The 16,956-nt window shown below is 33.4% G+C and overlaps 1 protein-coding gene across 14 annotated transcripts in view; it reads left to right on the forward strand.

Moving 5' to 3' along the window:
• USP15 (ubiquitin specific peptidase 15) overlaps positions 1–16,956 on the forward strand; it is a 155,986-nt gene that overhangs the window by 46,050 nt on the left and 92,980 nt on the right. For all 14 annotated transcript variants that reach the window (NR_147078.2, NR_147079.2, NR_147082.2 and 11 more), the window contains 2 exons: positions 8,337–8,463; positions 15,011–15,156. Coding sequence is in view for 5 of the 14 variants with exons in the window: in NM_001252078.2 (NP_001239007.1) it covers positions 8,337–8,463; positions 15,011–15,156 (273 nt within the window). In the remaining 9 variants the exon portion in view is untranslated. The remainder of the gene's footprint in view (positions 1–8,336; positions 8,464–15,010; positions 15,157–16,956) is intronic.

A 16,956-nucleotide genomic window follows, 5' to 3' on the forward strand; every position in this document is an offset into this window, starting at 1 on the left:
CTTGAAGTGAGGAAAGTCTTACTGGAAACTGGTAGAAAGTGGTCTTTGTTATACAGTGGTAGAGTAAGTTTAGCAACATGTTGCCTGCAGTAAACTGAAAGGTTAAAGATAGTATTTAATGAAATTATAGGTCTGCCAAAGTGTTAAAAGTACTGCCTAGTTTCTTTTTGTGTTGGTTATAGTCAGATGTGAGAGAAGAGAAATACACTAAAGAAAGGATTGTTCAATAAAACAGAGCCAATATTTACTAGTTTTGAAGATTCCTAGTCCCTCCAGATGGCAAACGGTGCTAATACTAAGCAGTGTTTCTGAGCAAAGATAAAACTCAGAGTATTCTCAGAAAAAAAGTGTGATCTAATCTGGCAGCCAAGGGTGTGACTGTAAGTTACCTCAGAAAAATCAAAGGTCATGCCTCACAGTACTATTCAGACAAAAGGCCCTATAAAGTATTTAAGGGTTAACTTAGAGGTTGTCCTGTCAGTAGTAATATTAATTAATATTAAGGGTGTCTTCTCAATATGTGGCTTCTAAGAACAGGAGGGCTTCAAGAAGCTTACGGGCAACCCCTTAGCTTTCTCAGCATAAAGCCAAAGTAGAGAGGACTTATCCTACAGAACATTTGTGGATATGGCTTTTGTCTAATGGAATGAACTCCAGTAAGATCCAGTGGAGACCTACATTGTTTTCGAATTACCTCGCAGAACCACTGCCATTTTGGACTGCAGAAGCAGTATTAAATGAAAGACGCCTTTGACCTCCCAAACTCCAATAAGTAGGAATCAGGCTGAAAATTTACTTAACTTCAAGCATGTGCTAATGCATGAAAAAAGGATGACTCAGAGAACAGAACCAAATGTTAGATAGAATAATTTTCAGGCAAGGGTAGAACTGAGTTCCAGTCAAGGAATTTCTAGTATTTGTCCAGGTAGATTTCATAATCGTTATGGACCATTGATTCCTTTGTACGTCCTATTTCCCCTCTTACAAAACAGGAATATTTAAAAGGCTATGTTCTGTGTGCTTCATTGTTTTATTTTGGGTGTATGGGGGGCAGAAAACTTGTCTCTTAGTTCACAGGCCTATACATCAAGAGGCACTACAGTAGTCCCCCTTATCTATGGTTTTGCTTTCCGCGATTTCAGTTACCTGCAAGCAACCATGGTCCAAAAATATTAAGTGGGAAATTCTGGAAATAAACAATTCGTGAGTTTTAAATTGTGCACCATTCTGAGTAACATGATGCCATCCCACTCCATGTCCTCCCCATGGACACTATACACTACCTTCCCGTTTGTCACTTAGTAGCCATCTTGGTTATCAATCTACTGTCACAGTGCTTTGTTGAAGGGCATTAGTAGCATAATGCAGCGTTACAATGTACATCATTCACTTCACCTCTTCTCATCAGGTAGACATTTAATCATCTCATATCATTACAAGAAAAAGGGTGAGTACAATATGATAAGCTACCTTGAGAGACCACATACACATAACCTTTATTATAGTATATTGTTCTAATTGTTCTATTTTATTATTAGCTATTGTTAATCTCTTAGTGTGCGTAATTAATAAATTAAACTTCGTCATAGGTATGTATGTTTGTAAAGGAAAAAACATAGTGAATATAGGGATTAGTGTGCTATTTGTAGTTTCAGGCATCCACTAGGGGTCTCGGAATATATGTCTTCAAAGGCTTATAGAAAATTTATAATTTGTCAATTATAGATGACAAATTTCTGAACTCCAGGTTGCTAAAATGAATTGAGACTAGTTGGGGCCTTTGGAAGAACTGAGTGTATTTTGTATTTTGGGGGAAGGAACTGTGAATCATTGGGGGCCAGGGGGTAGACTGTGGTAGCCAGCCTCAAAGATGCTCCCCAGTGATTGTGACCTCTTAGAATCCTTAGTCTGGTGTAATCCTTTCCCACATTGTACGACAGTTGGTCTATGCAGTCAGTAGCATGTGGCAGAAGTGGTGGTATGTCACTTCTGAGATTAGTCCTTAATGGATGCCTGTACTTCTATTGGGAGTGCACATACCTCCCTCATCCCCTCCCCTCGGATCACTCACTCTGGGCGAAGCCATAACTTTGCCCTTAACTTACCCTATAGAGAGACTCACATAATGAGGAACAGAGGCTGCCAACAGCTACATGAGTGAGCTTGTAATTAAGATTTGAACAACATGATTAACCACCATAACCTAATTGACATGTACATTGTACTTAGTCATTGCAGAATACACATTTCTATTAAGTGGAATTTTTAAGCAAAATTGACCATATTCTGGGTTATCAAAATTCCAGTAAACTTCAAATGATAGAAATTGTTCACTGTATTTTCTGTCATTAGTGGGATTAAGCTAAAATCAGTAACAAAGAGATAACCTGATTATCCCCCAACTATCTAGAAATGGAAAAATATACTTTTAAGTAATCCTTGAGGCAAAGAGAAGAATGAAAATTAGACATATTTTAAACTGAATAATAATTAAAATACAACTTAAAAGATTGGCTGAAATTCTCAGAAGGAATTTTATAGCTTCAGTGCAAATATTGGAAAAGAAAGTGAAAATCTATTGTCTCAACAAGTTAAGGAAATTGAACTTAAGAAGAAACATTATAATGTAGACATTAACAAAATAGAAAACAAACCTACATTAAATGAACAAAATTCAGTCATTGTAGAGAGCAGTGAAATTAGACCAGTAAAGTAAAGATGAGTCCTGGCAGGATTGTTTAAGAATAAAAAGAGAGTAGGCACAAATAACCTATATTGCGAATGAAAAAGGAAACATCATAGCAGAGTCTAAAGACTTTTTTGAAAAGATTATGTTTTGAACAGTTTTATGTAAATTTGAAAATTTAGATGAAGTGGATAATTTCTAGACAAACAGAACTTTAAAATGTCAATACAGTAAGAAATAGGAAACTCGAATTCACCTATGTGATTAAAGAAATTGAGTCATTGAAAACCTTCCCACAAAGAAAGCTTCAGGCCAAGAAAGCTTTACCAGTGTATTCTACCAAATATTTAGGGAAGCCATAAACCAATACCACACAGATTCTTTCTGAGAATAGAAGCAGTACTCCCCAACTTATTTTATAAGGCTAGCATAAACATGACATAAAACCTGAAGGACATTACAAGAAAGAAAAATTACAGGCTGGTCTCACTCATGAACATAGATGCTTAAGTCCTAAACACAATGTTAGCAAGACAAATCCAGCATTATGTAAAAAGGACAAAAATGACCAAGGTGGATATTTTTCAAAGAATACAATTTTAACTTTGAAAAGCATTCATAATTTTAGCAGACTAAAGGAGAAAAATAATCTCAATAGAGATACAAAGAACATTTGATGCTCAACATCCATGTATGATCTTAAAAAAAAAAACTCCTAGAAAACTAGGACTAGAAATCGCCTGTAAATATTGTACTTATTGGTAAAATATTAAAAGTTCTTCCCAAGTCAAGAATAACTGTGTTAGAAATCTTAGCCAGTATGGTAATATAGTAAAAAGAACTAAAAGAGTGAATCTTGTAAAAGAAGATACAAGACTGTCAGTGTTTTTAGAAGGCACGATTCTACAGGTTTAAAATTCCAAAAATATGTACTGGTAAACAATTAGAATTAATAGGTAAATTTAACAGGTTGCCTGATATAAGGGCAGTATAGGGAAACCAGTTTTTTATTGGCAACAAATAAAGTTTATTTTTATTTGTACAAATTAGTGGTGTACATGAGAAAATCTGTTACATATATATAATAAGTAGTAATGAAGTCAGGGTATTTTGGGTGTCCTTCACCCAAATTCAATACATTTTTGTTAAGTATAGTCACCCTGCTCTGCTACCAAACATTGAATTTATTCCATTTTACTGTATGTTTGTACTTTTAAGCCAGTTCCCTTCATCCTTCCCTGCTCCCTTCCTTATCCTTCCCAGTGTCTGTTATCTATCTTTCCACTCTTTACTTCATGTGATCAAATTTTTTAGCTTCCACGTAAAAGTAAGAACAGATGATATTTGTCGTTTTGTCCCTGGCTTATTTCACTTAATATAACGACCTCCGGCTTCATCCATGTTGCTCAAAAGACATGATTTCATTCTTTGTAATGGCGGAATAGTACTCCATTGTTTATATATATATACAATATTTATCCATTCATCCATTGATGAGCACCTAGGTTGGTTCCATATCTTGCTATTGTAGATAGTGCTACAATAAACATGTGAGTGCAGGTATCCCTTTCATATACTGACTTCTTTTCCTTTGGGTAGATATGCGGTAGTAGGATTGCTGGATTCAATGGTAATTCTGTTTTTAGATTTTTGAGAATCTCCACACTGTTTTCTGTAGTGGCTGTACTAGTTTACATTCCCATCAACAGTGTATAAGTGTTCCCTTTTCTCCGCATCTTCGCTAACATCTGTTGTCTTTTGTCTTTTTAATAATAACCATTATGGCTTGGTTAAGGTGATATCTCATTGTGGTTTTGATTTGCATTTCTCTGATGATTAGTGATGTTGAACATTTTTATATACCTGTTGGCCATTCATTTGTCTTTTGAGAAATGTCTATTCATGTCCTTTGCCTACTTTTAAATGGGATTGATTTTTACCTGTTGAGTTGTTGAGTCCTTGTATATTCTGGATATTAATCCTCTGTTGGATGAATAGCTTATAAATATTTTCTACACTTCAACAGGTTGTCTCTTAATAAAGTTGAATTTTAAAATAACATTTACAGGTCAAAATACTTAGGAATAAACCTAGTAAGAACTGTGTTTTTCTATACTGAAAATTGTGAAACATTACTGGGTAAAATTAAAGAAGACTTAATGAATTAATGGATCTAGCCTGAAGGTCTAGAAGCTGAAGATGTAGGAGAAGGAGTAGGTCACTAATGTTTTTCTGTAAAGGGCCAGATAGTAAATATTTTTAGCTTTATGCGCCCTTTAGTTTCTTTTGAAATGACTAAACTTTGCTGATTTAGGCATAAAAGCAGCCCTAGATAATTAATAATTGGGTATGAAAGTAGCCGTAAACATAAATGAATGGGGGTTGTTGTGTTCCGGTAAAGCACTATATACAAAAATAGATTGATGGGTAGATTTAGCCATCTAAACCTAAGTTTAGCCAAACTTAGTTCATAAGTTTGCCCATCACTAGATCTAGGCATTGGCTTTAATGTCTACCAGCATCACAAAAAAAGGAGCAACTAGATGTTTGCATCCTGTTCAGAGTGAGTGTATGTCACCATCTATGCAGTGGTCTAAAGTAAAAATTACAAGAATAGGAAAGATGGAGAACTTCTAGGTTAAAAGACACTTAAGAGACGAATTAGTCTATTGGCAATATATGGACCTTATTTGGATCCTGATTCAAACAATACATTAAAAATGAGACAGAAGGAAAAATTTGACTTTTGACTGGATATTTGATATTAATTGATTAGTTTTAATTTTTTAGGTGTGATGATGGTATTGTGGTTATGTTTGAGTCTTTGTTTCTGAATATTCTGAAGTATTTGTGGATGGAAAATCACATACATAGGATTTGTTTCTTACACATTAAGAACTATGATTTCATAGTTTTGTTGTATTTATCTACTTCTCTGTCTTCACCGTTATCTGTTCTCACTCAGGCTCCAGGATCTAGGTCTAATTTATCTGCACCAAATGTAGGTACTCAATAAATGCTTTTAAAATGAATGAAGCTAGCTCTACAAAAGAGTAAGTCAGTCTGTTAGAGGCCTGGTATTATGAAATTGTTTATATAGTACTAGATTTTTTTAGAAATTACTTATATTTCTCTTCCCATTTCAGGGAGGGAGCATACTTGGAATGAAGGTAAAGTTTCCATGAAACTTTTCATACACAGACATAAAGGGTAGACTATATTAGGTTTATTTAATATGTTTAATGGCCTTGTAAAAAATACCCTAAATATTCACAGCAAAAAATGAACAAATAGAAATTATTTATTTTAATCCTCTGTAAACTTATATGTAGCTCAAATACTTAGTAAAGAGACTTTGCCTTCATTATGGTTATAAATTAATGAAAATATGTTTACATATCCATAAGTCTTCCATTTTGGACAAGGAGCCAGATTTCATCATGTACTCACTTTTTATTTATGGTAATATAACAGTGTTATAATTCACTTAGAGTAAACATTATAACTATCATCTATAATACTGAAACATAACTATCACTTCTGAATATCCCCCTTCCGATCTTATTTCAAATACATATTTTAATAGTTATAATAATTAGGTAAATAAAACTATACTTTTTTTATAAGCTTGTTTCTTCCTGTTAGTCTTCATGACCATCATTTTCAATGCATACATTTTTAATTAAGGTAGGAAGGAGATTTTATGTAAACAAATATGAAGGAGATTATATAAGCAAATAATCTACATGTGACCATTACACATTGATTCGTAAATGTGCTAATTATTTTTCTTTTTATGGTGCTGTTATTTTCAAGCTTTAATAGTACATATAGTATGACCTTTTCATATAAAAATAGTTTGACAACAAACTCATATTTTTAAAAACAACACCTTGTTAATACACTACTTTGGGAATTAGTAAAATAAATATCTTATAAATATAGTAGCAGTTTTCTGAGTAGTGATGATGAAGATTTTAGCAATGTAAAATGTAGGAAAGAAGAAAAAAATGTTGAGAAAAATTCTGAATCCCAGTAGTGTGGACTTTGAAATATTCTTGATATTTTGTTTTCATAGATCTCACAATAACTCTGACAGTTAAGTCACCAGGTTCTTTCCAGGAAAATATCTATAGTATTATGAAAATGTATTTTCATTTTTAGAAAACTATGCCTATTTAGAAAGTATATACCTCAATATAAATCATAATGGGGGTTTTGTTTTTTAACCATACTTATTCCTTTTCCTGCTTTGTGTTGGTCATTCCATTTTTCTTTTTCTTCCATAAAAATGAGGCCTGCAGTTTACCTTAGTTTTAGTTACTACCAGTGATTAGTAGCTACTTTAATGTAGTTTATTTTAGGATTTTACTCAGCTATTGAGCCCCAGTATAGAAATTACTGACTGATAAGAATATTTGATTCCTTGTTTCTCTACTTAAATATAACTACAAGTAATCTTATAAAATTAAATGTTACTACATTTGTAACCATGAAGTAAATCAGCCTAAGATGTTTAAAACAAATCTCAGTAGTTTAACATATTGGTTTTACAAAACAAATTACATTTATTAGCAGAAGGAGAGGTACAGGCTGCTACCTGTTTAAAAAAATTGTAACAAGTATGATTAAGAAAATATATATGACAAAGTATCATAAAAATGTGTGTTGGATTAGATAGTAAATACTAGATGAACTGCATTTGAATTTTTTCAATGCAGTGAAAGACAAGTTTGTAAAGTCCTCTTTTGAATTGATGTAAGCTTGTGAGTATATCCCAACGGTCATTTGGAGCCTCCCTTTTGCCATATTTGTCTAATGGATCACATATCAGGCCTATTACTATTTTCAGAAACAGTATTCATGACTGAAATCCTACAGTTAACCTTTAGAAGATCGAAAGGAATTATACTTATTTAAAAGGTGACCTTAATATATACATATTTCCTTTTTATGCTTTATGGCTTGCATGCTTAACAGCTTTCTTTTAATTGCTGCATAGAATTACTAAGTGTGTAGTTAAAGGTCAAACAAAGTAAGTCACTGTAGGGTGAAACTAACATATCAGTTACCTAGCCATAGCTGGATATTTTGGCAACAGTGATTTGGAGTTATCATTTTAATAGATATATTTTAACATAACAGTGATAATATAGCCATTAAGTTCAAATTGTATAAACAACTTTTTAAAGGTTTTCTGCTTGGGATCACTACTAAAAGCTAAGAAGTATGTTTGTATCTTCAATCAGAACTCTGTTTATTTGTATTATAATGTATAAACAGAGAACGTACATATATATTTGCACATAGTCATTTTGGGTAATCTTTCTCATTATAAATACTGAATATTAATTATTTATGGTGTACTAGTGTATCTTCATAGATCAATAGAATGCCTTTCCAAACTGTCACTTAATGTTTTAAAATCATGATTATTTCTTTCTTTTAAATATCAAAATTTCCAAAAAGTTTTCTTGCTTTTGAAGTTTTAACTATCCAATATCTTTTTTTATATATATTGGCAGGCTTTAATAGTGACTGGTTTTTCACTGGAGATCTGCAGTTTTCTAAAGTCTCTTTAAATGTATTGTTATTAGAGTGAAATATATTGATATAGGTGACACTGATTTGTTTTGTTTCATTATTTTAGGTGGTTGAACAGGGTATGTTTGTAAAGCACTGCAAAGTAGAAGTATATCTCACAGAATTGAAGCTATGTGAAAATGGAAACATGAATAATGTTGTAACTCGAAGATTTAGCAAAGCTGACACAATAGGTAATGCAAGATCCTGTCTTGTTTTTAATCCATTGCTATTAGATATTTAATTAGAATTATCTTTGTATATGCTACTTGGATGATAACCATTTTAAGGATTTATATATAGACATTTGATTTCCAGCTTTGATACAATGTCTTAGAGTTAAATTATTTATTGTTTCTTGTATGCTTTTGCATTTATTAAATGAATTTTAACATTTGTGCTGTTTTGCTTTTTTATAAAACATCAAATAATTATTGTTTTTATTTAGCAACTGGTGTGTCATTTGTAACATAGACCTTTAAATAAAAACTTAATTAAAACTTGGTAAGGTAGCATGGAAAATGACAATTGGTTATTTCCTTTTTTCTCTTAGTTTATTCTTTGGTACTATAAATACAGTCAAGTAGCCAAGGCAGCAGGCTTAGCGTTATTTTGACACATTGATTTTTCAAATTAATGAGTAGCGTAAGCAGTTGTAAGTCAAATATAAGTGGACTTAATTCTCTCTATATATTAAAATATATATAAATTGTTTTCTTTCTATTTAAAAGACACATTTTTAATTTTAGGTAAAGAATAGATTGAATAAAATGTTTTTTAAAATAAATGATTATGAATTTAATAAAAATTACATGGTTTTTGTTTCATAAAACTCAAGAATTTTTAAAGTATTTAATTTCAAATGAAGTTGTAAAACAAGATTAATGGTAATACCATTGATCTTAGAAAATACAAATGAACAGTGAAGAAGGACACATAACTTGTAGAACCCAGCTTGGAAACAGATTAGCCAATTTATGAATTATAGCGTGGCATAAGATTTCCTTGTTGGAACCAGTCATTAAAGTAAATGAAAGTATTTCTGAATTTCATTAACTGCATTTGGCTTTCTTTCACCACTTACCCACTTCACAGCTGGAAAATCCTTTTAACCCGTATTTTTTATGAAATAGTAGCATTATTCAAGTACTCAGTGCTTGGTTAATCCTAATGTTTGCACCAAATAAAATACAGCATTATGTTATGAATCTTTATTCTCCCCTCTTCATTTAGCTAGAACATTTATAAGTTCGAGATTAAGTTTCAATAAGCTGATAGTTGGCCGGACGCAGTGGCTCACACCTGTAATCCCAGCACTTTGGGAGGCTCAGGCGGGTGGATCGCCTGAAGTGAGGAGTTCGAGACCAGCCTGGCCAACATGGTGAAACCCCATCTCTACTAAAAGTACAAAAATTAGCCGGGTGTAGTGGGTGTGCGCCTGTAGTCCCAGCTACTTGGGAGGCTGAGGCAAAAAAATTGCTTGAACCGGGAGGTGGAGGTTGCAGTGGGCCGAAACCGTACCTCTGTACTCTAGCCTGGCAACAGAGTGAGACTTTATCTCAAAAAAAAAAAAAAAAGCCCATAGAGTCATCTTTCTAAAATGAATGCTTAAAAGATAAGGAATTTCATATGTAAGTTTTATTATAATTATTATTACAGATAAATTGCTTGACTTTTGAATTTCCACATTTGTAGAATATATTCAGGAAAATAAGATATTTCTACATATTAAAAACAAAGTTTTCAACATATGAAAATTATTTTAATCATATGAATATGTACATGAGAAGAGTCTATAAATTTAATAAGGGTAGTCTGTTAAAATTAATTCAGAGAGTCGTCTCTGAAGTTTATAGCCAATTGGAATATAAATGAGAAGCTACCTCTTAAAATAATGTTTTCTAGTTATTTTTAAAGTTTGGTATTTTCTTCTCTCCCTGCCTCATTTTGATAGGAAAATTAAATATGAGACCATCAGAGATATTATTTTAGAACATTATTATACTAGGTATTTTGAAACTCAGGAAAATCAGCAACTGATTTAATTTCTGAATTCAAAACAAGAATTATGGGTTCTCATGATAAGAACTGTGTAAGAATTTGTCACGAAGATATGTAATTTATAAAGGATCACTGCTTCAAAAAGTTTACAATCTAGCATAGATTTTAATCAACATATATACTAATACTTTAAAATGCTAGATAAATTGGATATGTACTTTAACATTATATATGAACCCAATTTTTGCATAGCTATAATTTTTTACTGTATTAAATCATTGTTTTTCAAACTGGATTGTTGATATTTTGGTGGTTCATTAAACAGTTTTGGGAGTAAAGAAAATTGAATGGGAGATATTAGAATACAAAATATCAACATATATGTTTATTTCCTGGGTCACAATTTCTTACTATAGCTCTTAGTTTAAAAAATTTGAAAGTCTGTGGTAGAATGAGTCTTCTTCTTAAGCAAAAAGGTTTGCAAAAATTAGTCAAGTCAGGAATTTTAGACACTTCATGGTTATGGTTATAGTACAGGTTAACAGTTGTTGAATATTTACTATGTTTTAAGCACTTTACAGGAATTTTCTTGTTTGAAGTTAAACAAGCAGGTATCTTCCTCTTATAGATAATGAAGCTGAGATTTAGAATCTACTTCAATTCACCCTGGTACCAAGTGGTAGAGCTAGTACTTTAACTTCATAAGCAGAGCTCTTAAACTAGAGTCTCATCTCTCAATTGCTGCCTTACACAATCTGTGTATGCTAAAGGAATATTCGTTTTGGAGATATTAACTGGGCTGATTTTGTTTTTCTAAAGGAAGTGGGTTTTGAAACACAGAATTTACATAAGGAACTTAAGATGGATATGTATTTTTCCCTTATGGTCTTTTAAGAAATCTTGATTGAAAATGATTAAAATAGCTATGTATGTGAAATACAGCTGTATAAATTTTATGAACAGATTTAGGAAATATAAGTGTCTGTTTTCTCTTGTTACCAAATTAATAAAATATTCTGTTTTCAGCTAGTACTACCTACACTGATATATAGTAAAAATGATAGCAGGCCATAGGCCATATCTAAATGATTTACCTATCAGGGCCAAAATCTTCTGCCTTCAAATGTTTTCTGCCAAAATTGATATATTTGAGCATTGAGCATGTTTAAGTAAGAGATAAAATAATAGTTTTATTTTCCTTTAAGATTAACTACCAAAAACATAAAACTTCTTGAAAAATATGATTTAATTTCTATGACCTGTATTAATATTTTTTAATTTCTAATTTTTGTGAGTAACCTGTATTATTTTTCTACCTCTGTATGCTTTTCATTAACTGGCTAGTACAGTTGAATTAATATGTGGAAAAATAAGCACACACTGTCAGTCCTTTGACCATTCTCAACTTCAGTGATCTCAACCATCAGCCAAGCTCAGCCACCAATTATTACAGTTAAACCCTAGGCTGTTGTTATCTGTAACTGCACTTGCCAGATCTCAATTTTAGCATCCTGCATTCTGGCCACCACTTTCTCTGCTCCCATTTTCTCTTGAGCCCACTACATGAGACATCGAAACCTACCACTCTGTTGGTACTACTACTGTCATAGTCTCTCATGACCTTGCCATTGACAAATCCAGTGGTAATATAGAAATCTTCCATTTTCCTGACCTGCCAGCAAAGTACAACACAGATAAACTACTTTTCTATCTAGAAGCACTTTCTCTTCACTTGGCTTCCTGGGCACAGTTTCTCACTGGCTGCATCTTGTTGGAGTCCTTTGTAAAACCTTCTTCATATTCTTTATCTCAAAATATCAGTGTCTCCATATTCTCCCAGCCCTCCTTTCCTTGGTGATTTCTTTTGTTCTCCTGGCTTTAAATATTTTCCATGTGTTGATATCTTTTAAGTTGATAGGTCCTGCCCTGAAGTCTCCCATAATTCCAGTTTGAACTATCCCATATCTTCATTTGTATATCTGACAGGCTTCTCAAGAAGACTATCAGATATAAAACTAAGCTCCCTTTCCCAAAAAACCTTAGGCTCTGTCATTCTTCCTTATCTCCATAATTCCCACTTCTGCTCTTCCAATTGCTTAGGCCAAAAATCATTTCTGATTCTTTTATTTCTCACCCTTCATGTAATCTAGCAGCATATCTTCTTAGCAATTCCTTCAGAATTTATTCTCAGTCAGACCACTTAACACTGCTTCCATTGCTACCACTTTGGTTAGGATTGTTGCAGTAACCTAGTTTCCCACCTTTGACCTTGAATTAGTCCATTCTCGCACTGCTATAAAGAACTACTGGAGACTAGGTAATTTATGAAGAAAAGAGGTTTAATTGACTTACAGTTCCATAGGCCGTACAGGAAGCATGGCTAGAAGGCCTCAGGAAACTTAACAGTCATGGTGGAAGGCAAAGGGGAAGCAACCACATCTTACCGTGGCATAGCAAGAGAGAGAGAGCAAAGGGGGAAGTGCTACACACTTTCAAACAACCAGATCACATGAGAACTCACTCACTGTCATGGGAACAGCAAGGGGGAAATCTGCCCCCATGATCCAGTCATCTCCCACCAGGTGCCTCCTCAAACACTGGGGATTACAATTTGGCATGAGATTTGGGTGGGGACACAGAGCCAAACCTTATCAGACCTTCTGCAGTGTTCTTCACTACCAGCAAAAGTGAACATTTAAAATGTCAGTCATATCATGCCACTTCTCTTCCCAACTCCTCAATAGCTTTCTCTTTTGCTCAGATTAAAATATAAATACTTTGATAGGTCACAGAAGTGTATATAATCCTACAGAAGTACCTTTATAGTCTCATTTCTACCTCACTTATTCTACTTCAGCCACATTGATGTATCAGGCTATTCTAAAACATGCCAAGCACATTTGCACCTCAAGGCTTTTGCGTTACTACCCCTATGCCTGTAATGTTCCCCCATATGTAAATTAGATCACAAAACTCAATGAAGAGGAAATTTCCACATTTGTTTATAACATGTTATGTACACAGATGCCTGTATTAATAGAAAAAACATCTAGAAGAAATATCAGAATGTCAACAGTGGTTATATCTAGGTAGACATTTTATTTATATTTGTCAGTATTTTTGGTATTTTTGCCAAAAGCAAAAATTATTTCTGCCCTCAGGAAACATTTATTCATTTTTATAGAAAGATTAAAACAGCTCCCTTCCTTGGCTTCTTCCTTTATCCTCTTTCTAGGTAATGTTTTGTTTCTTGATCTTGGTGCAATTTACATGGGTGTGTCCACTTTGGAAATTTATCACAAGATACTGATGATTAGTGCATGTTTCTGTATACATGTTCACTTTAATAAAAAGAACAAAAAGAAAAAAATACAACCCTGCCAAAGTAGAAAGCAGTACTGATAAGGCTTGGCTATGTGTTCCCACCCAAATCTCATGTCAAATTGTAATCCCCCATGTGTTGGAGGAGGTGCCTGCTGGGAGGTGTTTAGATCATAGAGGCAGATTTCCCCCTTGCTGTTCTTGTGATAGTGAATGAGTTCTCATGAGATACGGTTGTTTGTGTGTAGCACTTCCCCCTTCGCACTCTCTCCTGCTCCTCCATGATAAGATGTGCTTGCTTCCCCTTCGCCTTCCACCATGATTGTAAGTTTCCTGAGGCCTCCTAGCCATGCTTCTTGTACAGCCCATGGAACTGTAAGTCAATTAAACCTCTTTTCTTCATAAGTTACCCAGTCTCAGGTAGTTCTCTATAGCAGTGTGAGAACAGACTAATACAAGTACTAACAGTATATTTATTTTATGTAATTATTTAAATATTCTGGGTGATTTGCTTTAAGTTTTGAGATAACGCTGTTGATATTTTGAATTAGTGCCTTTTTTTCCTACTGATTTAATGCCCTTATCAAAACCTTACTGACTACAAGACTATTACAAAACATTAGCTGCTAAGTAGATAGTATTATTGGACTAAATTATGTAGGATAGATGTGGGTTTTCATATTTCTTCGGAGAACGTATATTATTAAGTTTAATATTTTATAAATTTTTTCAAAACTACAACTATTCTAAAATCTAAAAGTATTCTGTATTCATATATCATAAAATATTTTGATTACTATTTTCTTGAGTTGATTAGGCAAGTTATTGACCAGAACTAGATGAAATTTCAGTAAATTGATTTAGAAATCAGAAAAAGACGTGACTTTACTTTGAAAATACTAAATTTTGGTGAATACAGACATCCCTTCAAACAAGGCACTTTCTTTTTTATTGTGTCCATATATTCTAGTGAGCTGTTCAGTTTAATATAAATTATTTTTAAATTGCTTATGTGGTACTTAAAAAATTTTGCACACTAAAAAAAATCTGTAACATCTCTTAATCATACTTTAATTTCTAATTCCTACATCTCCTCAGAAAATATTTGAATTATAGTATGTTAAAATTTAAAGTTTATCCTGTGTAGCATAAATTGTATTTTAGTGTTAGGTGATTGAACTCTTACCTTTTGAGATTTTAAATTCCCCAAGTAATTTGTTGGAGTACAAATACCATTTTTTCCATAAAAACTTGGTCTTAAAAACCCTTTTGTTGGTTTGTGTTTTATAGATTTATTACATATTTAGTCTTGATTTTCTATTAGTATTTTAAAGAATTTTTGTGCTGGTAACATTTAGCTGTATGTGGTATATTTTGAAATACATACTATATTTATATATCTTTCCTCCTTAAATCTAGATACAATTGAAAAGGAAATAAGAAAAATCTTCAGTATTCCAGATGAAAAGGAGACCAGATTGTGGAACAAATACATGAGTAACACATTTGAACCACTGAATAAACCAGACAGCACCATTCAGGATGCTGGTTTATACCAAGGACAGGTATTGTTTATTTTAAGCATACTGTATTATACATGAAGGTTTTTGGATTCACAAACTTTAATAATTATCCTGGCAATATATAATGGGCTGTACTGTTTCTGGCTTCCTCTTTCTAAACTCATCTCTTGTCTTTCCTTGCTGGTTACTGACTCTGACTTTTGATTCCCTCCTTGAGCTTGGGAATAATCTACTTGTTAAAAAGAAATCATTTTTAATTAGAAAAAAATCCCAGCTAATATTATAAGGTGGGTCAGCAAACTTTCTGTGAAAGACCAAATAGTAAACATATATGGAGCATCTCTTATTTACACAGTTCTTTATTACAAATTACAGTTCTCTGCAGGCCATAAAGTAGCATCTAAAACATTGCCATTGTAGTACACAAAAACAAGCATAGATGATACATGAATAAATGAGTATGGCTATGTTCTAATAAAGCTATTTATATAAATGTGCAGCAGGCTAAGTGAACTCTAGTTTGCCAGCCCTTGTTGAAAGGTGTCAGCTCCCAATTTGGCTTTTTTGTTTGTTTGTTTGAGACGGAGTCTCACTCTGTTGCCCAGGCTGGAGTGCAGTGATGCAATCTCGGCTCACTGCAACCTCTGCTTCCCAAGTTGAAGTGATTCTCCTGCCTCAGCCTCTTGAGTAGCTGGGACTGCAGACATGTGCCACCACACCCAGCTAATTTTTGTGTTTATAGTAGAGATGGGGTTTCATCATGTTGGCCAGGATGGGCCAGAATGGTCTCGATCTCTTGACCTCTTGATCTGCCCGCCTCAGCCTCCCAAAGTGCTGGGATTACAGGTGTGCGCCACCGTGCCCGGCCGGTATTTTTTTAATAAAGTATTGAGAAATGAAGAGGTTTAGTCACTGTCAGCAAGTCCTACTGATTCTATCTTCTAACTGTGTCTTGAAGTAATCTCTGTGCTCCATTCTCAGCCCTTATCTTTCATAGTCTCTTTACAAATTCCTGTATCTCCAGGCTCTTGTATGTCTGTTCAATCTTTCTTCCTTTGTTTTTTTGTTATTAGCAGATAACCATAGGACAGTCTTGTTTTTGCAAGAATACTCATTCTAAAATGTAAACTTCACTGTCTTCCTTTCATAAACTTTTCCTGGTTCCTTAATAATTAAGTCCAGGCACTTTAAGCCAGCATGCAAGTTATGGTTTAACCTTGTACCTACTCTTCCACCATCTCTAGATTATCTTTGTTTTGTGGTTTATACTCAAGCAGTACCAAACTGAGCTGCTTATAGTTCCCTGAACACACTATGCTATTCCATATTCTTGTGCTTTCTGATGTGTTATTCCATCTGCCTGATGATGTAAACGTCTTTGGAGTCCCTGTATTCATCCAGCAAAAAGTCCTTTTAACCATCCATATAATAAAATTAACCATCCCATACCATCATGTAGGCCAGCCGTATCAGATTATTCATCCTTCAGGTTCTAGCTCAACTGTCACATCATCTATTCAGCCTTCCCTATTTCTCTCAATGTCCATTGAGGTATAGGATGTTTCTACTTTGGAGAAAAGAATTGCTTCCTTAACTTCCACAAAGATGTATGTATATTTGTTTTGTATCGTTCATTATATGCTTTAGTTATTTGTATTTTAATCTCCCCAGACTATGAGGTCCTTGTTTTGGTTAGACTTTGTACCCTATTTTTATTTTCAGAACCTAACATGCCCGGTGCTCTGATAAATGGAAGATTTTTTTGTTTTGTTTAAAAATTACTGTTAACATCAATAATATGATTCTGAGTTGTGGAAAAATTCAGATAAAGTGAGGGAAATT

This window comes from Homo sapiens, chromosome 12, assembly GCF_000001405.40.
Source record: "Homo sapiens chromosome 12, GRCh38.p14 Primary Assembly".
NCBI classification, from domain to species: Eukaryota; Metazoa; Chordata; class Mammalia; order Primates; family Hominidae; genus Homo; species Homo sapiens.